Source organism: Homo sapiens, chromosome X (assembly GCF_000001405.40).
Source record: "Homo sapiens chromosome X, GRCh38.p14 Primary Assembly".
NCBI classification, from domain to species: domain Eukaryota; kingdom Metazoa; phylum Chordata; class Mammalia; order Primates; family Hominidae; genus Homo; species Homo sapiens.
Window position 1 is genome coordinate 150,713,516 of NC_000023.11, and position 12,204 is coordinate 150,725,719.

A 12,204-nucleotide genomic window follows, 5' to 3' on the forward strand; every position below is an offset into this window, starting at 1 on the left:
ACTGGTTGCCTTTGTAAAAACGATAATCATTGCAACCAAAGTTTCATGAAGCAAAAATATATATAGGCTAAATTTTAATATTTTTAGCCTCGGAGACTTGATAGAATTTTAAAAAGAGATTACAATCTTGTCATCTTCAGTATTCATATTCTTTTTTACCAGCTGCTGAATAAAAAGCCCAATTTTTAAAGTTTCAAAAAATAATAGATTCTATAAAGAAATTAAGAACAGTATACCTTTAAAGGGATTGGAAAAAATTAAAGATGTGTGGCCTTTTAGCTGTTTCTTGGAAGTGCGTTGATAGAGTAATTAGAAATATTTAATATGATATTGAGTTATAAATCACAGAATTTAATTAGCAATAAGCAATAAGAAACAGACATGTATATATATGTGTGTATACACACACACACACACACACACACACATACACATATATATATAATCTCCAGCATGTGATATATGCATGTGTGCAGTGGAATTGATCCCTGAGCAATGTAATATGAATACTTACTGTGTTTAAAATACATGTCTATAAACTGCCTTTGTATTTTGGCTTGACTTTGCCCTTTACCAGTTTTCTGTGGTATGCTTTATTTTCTGTGAGCACATTATGTGCCTGTTATTTTGTTTCTTTGCTATATGCTGTCTATTGCTTGGTTTTGAAAAGACAGTACATTCTTTGAAATCCATGATGTTTGTTTGCTTTTCATTTTTCTACCCCAACACAAACACAGAATAGATACTCCATTTTAGGCTGTGGATGCTATAGATGGCCTACATGTTATTTCCTTAACTCCAAGGGGGAAAATGTTGTGATTTGCAAAGTCATGAAAGGTGTGTCGACTTTTACATGCTTACTGTCTCCTTAAAAAAGAAATTCTGTCCTTTCACCTGTCTGTTTGCACGTGTTTCTCTTTCTCCTCTTTGCCTTTTCTTGTCCATGCACCTGGTGCTGTGCAGGAGATTCAGGAAGAACACAATGGCTACCCTTCTGAAGCTGAAGCTGATCAGGTGGCAAGTTCTACGTGTTCATCTGTTTGTAGCTACAGATCGTGTATTTAGAAGCCATTTCATTCTAGACTTCTAGATAATAAGCAAAGCTTTCCAGATGCCTCTACCACAATAGTAGTGCCCTCCTGTCCAAATTTGGTAGATTCCATATGACATTATTTGCAAAAATTGGTTTATCCAACATTTTGTCAACTAGAAATTTGTTTGTCTGTGTTTCTTGGTTTGCCCAGATAGGGTTATTGATGGGGTTAATGACCCTCCATCACGGTAGGATTCTGCAGTGCCTTTACATAGACATAGAGGGGACAGATACATATGCTAAGGGTGCTCCTTGAGGGTGCACACTTTGCTTTCTTCAAATATGCATGATCTATGCCCAACACAGTACCTGGTACCATGTAGATATTTGTGGAATTGGTACATATATTAATCAGAATACAAAATTATTCATAGAGTATTCTTGAGTGCTTACTCTGCTCAGTACCTCTAGACCCTCTCTGGAGTCTTTTAAAGCTGCAGTACTTTCCCCAATGCTTATGTGAAACAAAGAGAAGAGCAGCTCCAGGGATGTGTGGCATGCCCCAGGTGCTCAGCTGCACCATTGTCCACCATCATCCAGCCCCACTCTCCTTTGGTGACCCTGGAAGCAACTTGAAGAGCCCAGTTTGAAAGCCACTGCTTTTGGCATGCAACCATTATATAAACTATCCACCTGGCGGCTTGGATTCAGGCTGAGGAGAAAAGTAGCGGAGAGGCCAGGGTTGTTGGGTGGGCTGGAGCCCTCAGGAACAAATTCAGGGAGCTGGCAGACTTCGGCTAGACCTTCAGGGTCACTGGAACAAAGTTGGGATGAGGTCATCAGAGGGAATTCCCCAGCTGGGCAACACTTTGAGCCATGGCACCAAGAGGAATGGGTGTGTTTATGAAATCAAATTTAGTTCATAAGAATATTCCATCCTTTGATTGTGCTGAACATGGGTTGGATAAATCAAGGGTCAAATCATGTCCTGTGCAACCTTGTAGTTGCAGTAAAAGCTTAATGTAGCACAAGTGTGAGTCCCTTCTCCTAACAGCAGCTTCATAAAGGGAATCTACTATACTCACCAAAGCAAACAAAAAAACCTCCAAGCTTTTAAAACTCTTCTCTTGAGTTTCTATGCTAAAGCTAAATGTGTTTCTTTTACAAAAGGAATCTCCTACGGGGAAATCTGAAGCAATTGGGTCACTTCTTTGTTTTATTCCAGTAGTTGTTCTTTTTTGCCATTTAAAAGGCATGTCCCAGATTTATCAATTAGAGGTTTGCCTTACTATGTCTCACTGACATATAAATGCACAGAAGTTTCAAGCCAAACTTGACATGACTATGGGAAGAGAAGAGAAATGCTTGATTTTCAACTTCTATCTTGAGAGCATTGTGTATTCTTAAAATGGTCCTAATCACCTCTGTCTCCTATATGCAACATTTTATTAGCTAGTCCTGGATTGAGGACTTTAAAATGTTTGATGTGGCTTGCTCTAAATAGAGAGAGTCATACCTTTCCTAAGCTCCTCCAGATTCAGTTGATTAAAGCAGCTTGCTTTAGTAATTATATTTCAAAATAATCTATTTTCACTTATTTTTAACATATAAGAAACTTAAGTCTGTATAATACATGATAATATTTAGCCATTAAAATAGGCTTTAACAACGTAACATTTGAAGTAATTTAAAACTCTGATATTGATTAAAATAGCTTTCTCACTTCATGAGATGCTATACAGTTAGTCACTAGTTCAGGCAATAAAGCAGAGTTTCAAATTAAGGCTTCTAAGATTGGAGATCTTTTAGTGTTTCTAAAACCAGACATTTATAAGTATACCTGTTAGTTTATGCTTTATTGCATAAAATATATTTCCAAAACAGATGTGAGTATAAAAATGAATCCATTAATCGTTCTCCACACCTACCCTTAATGTGTTTACTTCCAAAAAATTTTGGCAGAAAATGTCTTTAAAAACCAGTCTGGGCTAAAAATTTGAATTGAATTAACTGTTTGGAGGTAACGATGATTCCTAATCTATATTATTTTAACCATGCATCTTTGGATAAGGAGGAGGATGGACCATGTCATTTTGTGGTCTCCCAGTAGAACTAACATAGCCCTGACCAACATTTAACATTGAATTTGTTATTTATAGTTTGGCTTTCTTCCCTGTATAAAATGTGATGAAACTACTATGTGTAGTATTTCTAAATTGACCTTTAGGTCCTTTAATAAAACATAGTGAAATATTCTTGTAACTATGAAAATAATTACTATTTTGAATTTTCAATAATTTAGAATTATAAAAGACATCCATTTAAAAATATTTTGCTTTACAAAATTATGCTGAAAGCGTAGTATTATTCGACCTATTTTCCACTGAACACTAGTGGCCTCCGATGTTAACAGGTGGAAAAAGCAGTCCCGATCAAATAGGTATGAGGAATGCATTATACTGTGGCGCCCTCTTGCGGATTCGGTGTGCATTGACACACTAAAGATGTCTCACTAAAAAAAGCAAATGAGGCCGGGCGCGGTGGCTCACGCCTGTAATCCCAGCACTTTGGGAGGCTGAGGTGGGCGGATCACCAGGTCAAGAGATGGAGACCATCCTGGCCAACAATGTGAAACCCCTGTCTCTACTAAAAGTACAAAAATTAGCCGGGCGTGGTGGTGTGCGCCTGTAGTCCCAGCTACTCGGGAGGCTGAGGCAGGAGAATTGCTTGAACCCGGGAGGCAGAGGTTGCAGAGAGCTGAGATTGTGCCACTGCACTCTAGCCTGGCGACAGAGCGAGACTCCATCTCAAAAAAAAAAAAAAAAAAAAAAAAAGGAGAAGAAAAAAAGCAGCTGAACTTGTTTTGCTTAACCCAGCATTTCCCAAACTTTTATTTATTTATTTATTTTTTAAGACCTATTCACATCTCTTGGGAAAGTAATGCTCTATGAAATACAGCTTTGGAATTGCTGGGGGTTCTGATCACCTTATTCTTATTCATGACACATTATGTCAGAGATGCCAAGGAGAAAGTGACTGGTTTCCTTGGCAGCGTCTCACAGGGTGGCGGTACCTTGGAATAGACCCCGAGTTCAGGCTTTGGTCCCTAGCTTTGTAGTTCAAGAACACCATTTTCTCACCTCCCCTCAATTATCTGGCACTATCCAACCAAGCTCACAAGGGAGTGGCTACTGGGCTGCAGTGCCAATCTGCTAATTTAAAAACGTGGGCGTGTATTTTTCTGGCCATCTAAGGTATCCTTTTCCTAGCATCATTGTAGCCAGGAAACCTAGTAAATCATTAGCAATTTGCTTGGTGAGTATGAAATTACTGCAAAGTAAATTGTCTTGAGACATGCCTGACGAAAACACCCTGCTCCGCAGCAGGGATTGGAATACTGTTGCCTGCCAGATGAGAGCACACTCTCTCATGGCCTGGATTGGGTGAACACTGACAACTTCACTCTTCATGTCCCTGGTCATACGCTTTGTGCATGCATGTCCGTGTGCACGAGCACACACAGACACACACACACACACATAGCTGGGCTGCAGTAGCAAAGCCTAGGCCTTTCCTTAGTTGTGTACTGTACCGAGACTGTTCTCCGGTTATTTTCATTAGACTTCTGGCCTTCCCAAACTTTCTCTTAGGCTGGGTCATTTCTCCAGTTAGCTAAGCACCTATAGCTCATGTTGGTTTCATTTGTATTAGTTTCATGCTCAGAAGGTAACCTTTTTCTGGCCTTATTTGCAAATTCTAGAGACACCTTTTAATAGCTATCTGTGTAGTGATTACAGTATCTTTCTGTCATGTCAAGCCATTTCTGTATTAATGCTTCCTAACTGTGAAATTTAAATATGTTGTAACAATTTGCTAGAATATGCAGCATGGTGTCTTGTGATGCTAAGCTTTTAAGTTGTCTTTGAAGGGGTTGGGTGCTTATTTTGCACGCTTCTGTAGCCTTATAGTGACATCACAGAACACCGAAATTCTTCACAGGTATACGGAAAGTGAGATTTACTCCCGTTTGGTGTCCTTTTTTTTTTTTTTTTTTTTTTTTTTTTTTTTTTTGCCAGGCTCTAAGGGATGGAAATAAGCTGGCACAGATGGAAGAGGCTCCACTTTTCCCAGGAGAATCAATTAAAGCCATTGGTAAGTTTAGTGTGTACACTTCGCTTTTTGAGATCCATAAAATGAAATGGCACTTAATTTGCAAGTGGAGGTGATGTATGTGCTGGAGATCCGCCAGACCAACTTAATTAGGGGACAAATGGACTAGATCTATTCATCCTCATTAGTGTCATCATGACCTAAGAGATAGAAGACTGCAGAGGATCCCGTTAAGTTCCAATTGAGTATTTGATGGCGTTCCCAACAGAAGAGGGGCCTGACTTTTCCTGGTGAACTGAAAGCTGATTAGACACTCAGTGTAATGTCAGTTCACTGCTTTGTTGGAATCCTTCAGTATAAGGAAAATATAGGAGACCTATATCATGTTTTAATAACAGTTTTGAGAACTCAGCAAAGAAATTTTAGTGGTTTATCAGATCCCAAAAAGTACAATTTTGGTGCATGGCAAGGGCTTGTGTTGCCATCCTGGCTTTTAAAGGTGATGGCATGAGGCCTCCCATATCCCTCCATGGTGTACTGCCAGGCCTTTCAGGGAGTAGTTGATTGTGCCATGGGTGGATGGGAGGGGCAGCTGGATGCGATCCGTTCATCTCATCACTTGGTTGGGTTGGACAGTCTGGTTTTCTAGACTGTTTCCTTCTTCCATCATGGCTTTCTCCCAAAGAGGCGCACTCAGTCTCAGAGTATAGTCATCTTGTGCCAAGAATATTTGAGTAGCGGGGCTCTCCCACCAGATCCTCCAATCAATTATTGCTGCTGAATATCCTAGTCTGTGTCTGTGGACCATGCTTATCTTGTCCTTGGTTTTGAAATTCTTTATTTCCTTGGGTTCTAGGACTTCATTCTATCCTGGCAGTCCTCTGGACTCTTTGTTCCTTCTCTGGGCGTTCTTCTAGCTCTGCCCTCATACTGTTTTCTTAATGATCTGTTTAAAATGCAGAGGTAATTATGTCATGCCCCTGCTTCTTCTTCAGACAGTAAACAACACAGGCGTAAAATGTAAAATGTGAAGAGGTTGTTTTTCACTTTAGTTTTATAATTTGTCAGTGAGTCAAAGTGAGCTCAGAAAAGATTAGAGCTCATGTAGGTGATTGACAACTTTGCACATCAGATACATATTTTGAATGAGCAGGGAGCGTTATAAAAGCTTGGATTGCAAGCTCACAGTTGTTGTAGTAAGAAGAGAAGGCTTCAGTGGATTTAGCTGCGGTCCTGGTGCTCTTTCTCTCCCATTTTCTTTTCCTTTCACTCTGGAAACAGAGCTCAGAGAGAGAGAAACTCCTGCCTGGCCCCACTCCAATACGAATTATTGGAAATATCTTAGAGTTAGATCTTAAGGACATCTGCAAATCCTTAAGTGATGTAAATATGCTTTATGCTCCTCTGGTGGCTTGCAAAGGGTAAGTAAATTGACCCTCTACTTTTTAATAAAATATATTCCTGGAGGCAAACTATTTAAATAGGTCATTGTGAAGTAAAATACTCCGTCTAAAGTATTACTTCAGTTTGTCATTGTCAGAATGTGAAGAGTTTTGACACGGTGTACACCTGAGAAACCATCATTCACAGTCAAGGTAACAAACATATCCATCACCTCCCAGTTTTCGTTTCCTTATTCCCCTTTATAATCCCTACTTCCTCTGCCTTCTCCGCCATCCCCAAGCACTATAGGCTAGCTTATGTTTTATGGAAATATAATCATAGAGTATGTTCTTTTTTTGTCTAGCTTCTTCAAATCAAATAATTATTTTGATATCCATATTGTGGCATGAGTTAACAGTCATTCTTTTTTATTGCTGGATAGAATTCCATTATATGGCTACATGACAGTTTGCTTATCCATTCATCTGTTGGTGGATATTTGGGTTGTTTCTACTGTTCGGCTGTTACAAATAAAGCTGCTGTGAACACTAATGTACAAGTCTGTATGAGCATACCTTTTCTTTTCTCCTGAGTAAATACCTAATAGATAAGTGGCTAGATCATATGATAGCTATACAGTTTCTTTAAAAAACTGCTAATGTGTTTTCTAAGTGGTCGTACCAGTATACATTTCTAGTAGCCGTATATGAGCATTCCAGTTTTTCCCTTCCAATTTGAATGCCTTTTATTTCTTTTTCTTACCCTATTACTCTTGATTGAACCTCCAGTATAATGTTAAAGAGAAGAAGTGAGAGTGGACATTCTTGTCTTCTTTCTGATCTTGGGAAAGCTTTCAGTCTTTCACCATGAAATATAATGTTAGCTGCAGGTTTTTACTATAGGTGCCCTTTATCATGTTGAGGGAGTTCCTTTCTATTCCTAGTTTGCTGTGAGTTTTCATCAGGAATTGATGTTAGATTTTCTCAAATGCTCTTTCTGCATTGATTGATGTAACCATGATTTTTCTTCTTTAACCTATAGTATCCTGGGTTACGTCAATTAATTTTTGATTGTTAAATCAACCTTGCATTCCCAGGATAAACTCAGCTTGCTTATTATGTAGTATCCATTTTATAAATTTTTGGATTTGGTTTATTAAAAGTTTGTTTAGAAGTTTTACGTCAATATTCATTTATGAAAGATATTGGTCTGTAATTTTCTTGTAATTGCTTTGTCAGGTTTTGGTATCAGAGTAAAGCTGGCTTCATAGAATGAATTGAGAATTATTCTCTTCCTTAGTTTTCCGGGATAGCTTATTTCTTACTTAAATATCTGGTAGAGTTTACCAGTGAAGCTGCTTGGACTTTGCGTTTCTTTTGTGCGAAGGTTTTTAACTACAAATTTAATTTATTTAGTAGTTATATGACTGTTTAGACTGTGGTTTTCTTTTGGGTAAGCTTTGGTAGTTTATGTCTTTCCAGGATTTTGTCCATTTAATCCAAGTTGTCAAATGATTGTCATAAAGTCATTTGTCATATTTCCTTACTCTTTAATATCTGTAGAATTTGCAGTGACATCTTTCTCATTTCTGATATTATTAATGTGCATGTCTTCTCTTTTTTGTTTTTCTCATCTGGCTAGAGGTTTATTGATTTTATTGATCTTCTCCAAGAGTCAGCTTTTGGTTTTATTATTTTCTTTGTTTTCTGTTTCATTGATTTCCACTCTGATCTTTATTATTTCCTTTCTTCTGCTTACTTTGGGTTTAATTCACTCTTTTTGTAGCTTTTGAGGTGGAAACTGTGGTCATTTATTTGAGATTTTTGTTATTTTCTAGTATAGGCATTTAGATTTTCCTCCCACTGCTACTTTAGCAGCATTTCATCAATTATGACCTTGTGTTTTTATTTGCATTCAGATCAAAATGCTTTTGAATTCCCCTTTTGATTTCTTCTTTGACCCTTGAGTTATTTAGGAGTGTGTCGTTTAATTTCCATATATTTGTGAATTTCCCAAATTTTCTTCGATTATTGAGTTCTACCTTCATTCCTTTGTGTTAAGAAAACATGCTTTTTATAACTTGAATATTTTTATGTTCATCAAGGCTCATATTATGTCCCAGAATATGCCCTGTCTTGGTAAATGTTCTACATGCAGTTGAAAAGAATGTGTTTTCTGCTGTTGTTGAGTAGACTGTTCTATAAATGTCAATTAGATTTTGTCGATCTGTATTCTTAGCCATTTTCTGTCTATTTCTACCAATTGTAGAGAGAGAGGTTTTGAAATCTCTGACCATAATGGTGGATGTGTCAGTTTCTCCTTGCAGTTCTATTAGTTTTGCTTTATGTATTTTGAAGCTGTTATTAGATACATACATGTTTAGGATTCTTACATCCTCCTGACGAATTGACCTCGTTATTATCATGAAATGACCTTCTTTATTCTTGGTAATATTCTTTGCTCTGAAATCTACTTTGTCTGATATTATTATAGACATTATAGCTTTTAAAAAATTTTACTAACATGATATACCTATTTTCATCCTTTGAATTTCAAACTATTTGTGTCTTTATATTTAAGGTGAGTTTCTTTTAGGCCACATATAGTTGGTTCTTTCTTTTGTCTCCAAACTGACAATCTCTGCCTTCTAATTGGGGTGTTTAGATCATTTACATTTTATATAATCAGTAATATAATTAGGTTTAAATCCACTATCTTGATAATTGGTTTTTATTAGTCTCATTTATTCTTTGTTCTTTTTTCCCTCTTTTTATGGTTGAATTGAGTACTTTTGTTTTAAACTTTTTTTATTTTATTATTATTATTATACTTTAAGTTTTAGGGTACATGTGCACAATGTGCAGGTTAGTTACATATGTATACATGTGCCATGCTGGTGTGCTGCACCCATTAACTCGTCATTTAGCATTAGGTATATCTCCTAATGCTATCCCTCCCCCTTCCCCCCACCCCACAACAGTCCCCAGAGTGTGATGTTCCCCTTCCTGTGTCCATGTGTTCTCATTGTTCAATTCCCATCTATGAGTGAGAACATACGGTGTTTGGTTTTTTGTCCTTGTGATAGTTTACTGAGAATGATGATTTCCAATTTCATCCATGTCCCTACAAAGGACATGAACTCATCCTTTTTTTATGGCTGCATAGTATTCCATGGTGTATATGTGCCACATTTTCTTGATCCAGTCTATCATTGTTGGACATTTGGGTTGGTTCCAAATCTTTGCTATTGTGAATAGTGCCGCAATAAACATAACGTGTGCATGTGTCTTTATAGCAGCATGATTTATAGTCCTTTGGGTATGTACCCAGTAATGGGATGGCTGGGTCAAATGGTATTTCTAGTTCTAGATCCCTGAGGAATCGCCACACTGACTTCCACAATGGTTGAACTAGTTTACAGTCCCACCAACAGTGTAAAAGTGTTCCTATTTCTCCACATCCTCTCCAGCACCTGTTGTTTCCTGACTTTTTAATGATTGCCATTCTAACTGGTGTGAGATGGTATCTCATTGTGGTTTTGATTTGCATTTCTCTGATGGCCCTATTTTAGGTACATGTGCATATAGGTAAACTTGTGTCATGGTAATTTGTTGTACAGATTATTTTATTACCCAGATACTAGGCCTAGAACCTAGTAGATATTTTTTCTGATCCTCTCCCTCCTCCCAACCTTCACCTTCAAGTAGGCCCCAATGTCTGTTGTTCCCTTCTTTGCGTCTGTGTCTGTGTTCTCATCATTTAGCTCCCACTTATAAGTGAGAACCTACAGTATTTGGTTTTCTGTTCCTGTGTTAGTTTGCTAAGGATGATGGCCTCCAGCTCTATCCATGTTCCTGCAGAGGACATGATCTCGTCCTTTTTTATGGCTGCAAAATTCCGTGGTGTATATATACCATATTTTATTTATCCAATCTGGCATTGATGGGCATTTAGATTGATTCCATGACTTTGCTATTGTGAATAGTGCTGCAGCAGACATACACGTGAGTGTGTCTTTATGGTAGAATAATTTATATTCCTTTGGGCATATACCTAGTAATGGGATTGCTGGGTCAAATGGTAGTTCTATTTTTAGCTCCTTGAGGAATCACCACACTGCTTTCCACAACGGTTGAACTAATTTACACTCCTACCAACAGTGTGTAAGCATTCCCTTTTCTCTGCAACCTCATCATCTCTTATTTTTTTTTTTTACTTTTTAATATGATAATAGCCATTCTGATTGGTGTGAGATGGTATCTCATTGTGGTTTTGATTTTCATTTCTCTAATGTTCAGTGATACTGAGCTTTTTTTTCATATGCTTATTGGCTGCATGTATGTCTTCTTTTGAAAAGTATCTATTCTTGTCCTTTGCCCACTTTTTAATGGGGTTGTTTGTGTTTTTTCTTGTAAATTTGTTAAATTCCTTATAGATGCTGGATATTAGACCTTTGTCAGATGCATAGTTTGCAAATATTTTCTCCCATTCTGTAGGCTGTTTACTTTGTTGATAGTTTCTTTTGCTGTGCGGAAGCTCTTTAGTTTCATTAGATTCCATTTGTCAACTTTTGCTTTTATTGTGATTGCTTTTGGCATCTTTATCATGAAATCTTTGCCAGTTCCTATGTCCAGAATGGTACTGCCTAGGTTGTCTTCCAGGGTTTTTACAGATTTGGGTTATACATTTAGGTCTCTAATCCATCTTGAATTGATTTTTGTATATGGTGTAAGGAAGGGATCCAGTTTCAGTCATCTGCATATAGCTAGCTAATTATCCCAGCACCATTTGTTGAATAAGGAATTCTTTCCCTATTGCTTGCTTTTGTTGAAGATCAGAGGGTTGTAGGTGTGCACCCTTATTTCTGGGCGCTCTATTCTGTTCCACTTGTCTATGTGTGTCTGTTTTTGTACCAGTACCATGCTGTTTTGGTTACTGTGGGCCTGTAGTATAGTTTGAAGTCTGGTAACATGATGCCTCCAGCTTTGTTCTTTTTGCTTAGGATTGCCTTGGCTATTCTTTTTGGTTCCATATGAATTTTTAAATAGTTTTTTTCTAGTTCTGGGAATGTCATTGGTAGTTTGATAGGAATGGCATTGAATCTATAAATTGCTTTGGGCAGTATGGCCATTTTCACGATATTGATTGTTCCTATCCATGAGCATGGAATGTGTTTCCATTTGTTTATGTCATCTCTAATTTCTTCGAGCAGTATTTTGTAATTCTCATTGTACAGATCTTTCACCTCCCTGGGTAGCCATATTCCTAGGTATTTTATTCTTTTTGTGGCTATTGTGAATGGGATTGCATTCCTGATTTGGCTGTTGGCCTGGCTGTTGTTAGTGTATAGGAATGCTAGTGATTTTTGTATGCTGATTTTGTATCCTGAAACTTTATCAAAGTTGTTTATCAGCTGAAGGAGCTTTTGGGTCGAGACTATGGGGTTTTTACTTTTTAGAATTCTATTTTATGTCCTGTGATTGCATATTAGCTATAATTGTTTGTTTTGTTATGTAACTAGTTATTTTACATCTTTATGTCTACCTTCAAATGATTGTATGCTGCTTCATGTACAGGATAAGAACCTTATAGTAGTATACTCCCATTTGTCCCCTCCTACCCTTTATGCTGTTGTTGTCATCCATTTTACTTTTACATATGTTATAAACCCCACAATA

General features: G+C 37.4%; 1 protein-coding gene and 1 pseudogene across 21 annotated transcripts in view; both read left to right on the forward strand.

The window, feature by feature from the left end:
* Positions 1 to 12,204, forward strand: part of MTMR1 (myotubularin related protein 1) — a 72,147-nt gene that overhangs the window by 20,554 nt on the left and 39,389 nt on the right. For 13 of the 21 annotated variants that reach the window (NR_148676.3, XR_007068204.1, NM_001353991.1 and 10 more), the window contains one exon: positions 5,110 to 5,185. The exons of 1 other annotated variant lie outside the window; for it this stretch is intronic. Coding sequence is in view for 18 of the 20 variants with exons in the window: in XM_005274766.4 (XP_005274823.1) it covers positions 5,110 to 5,185 (76 nt within the window). In the remaining 2 variants the exon portion in view is untranslated. Of the gene's footprint in view, positions 1 to 963; positions 1,015 to 5,109; positions 5,186 to 12,204 lie in introns of all 21 variants that reach the window. 7 more of the 21 variants (NM_001353992.1, NM_001353994.1, XM_005274765.4 and 4 more) reach the window with 1 other exon arrangement.
* On the forward strand, positions 6,362 to 6,529 carry CYP2C64P (cytochrome P450 family 2 subfamily C member 64, pseudogene; annotated as a pseudogene).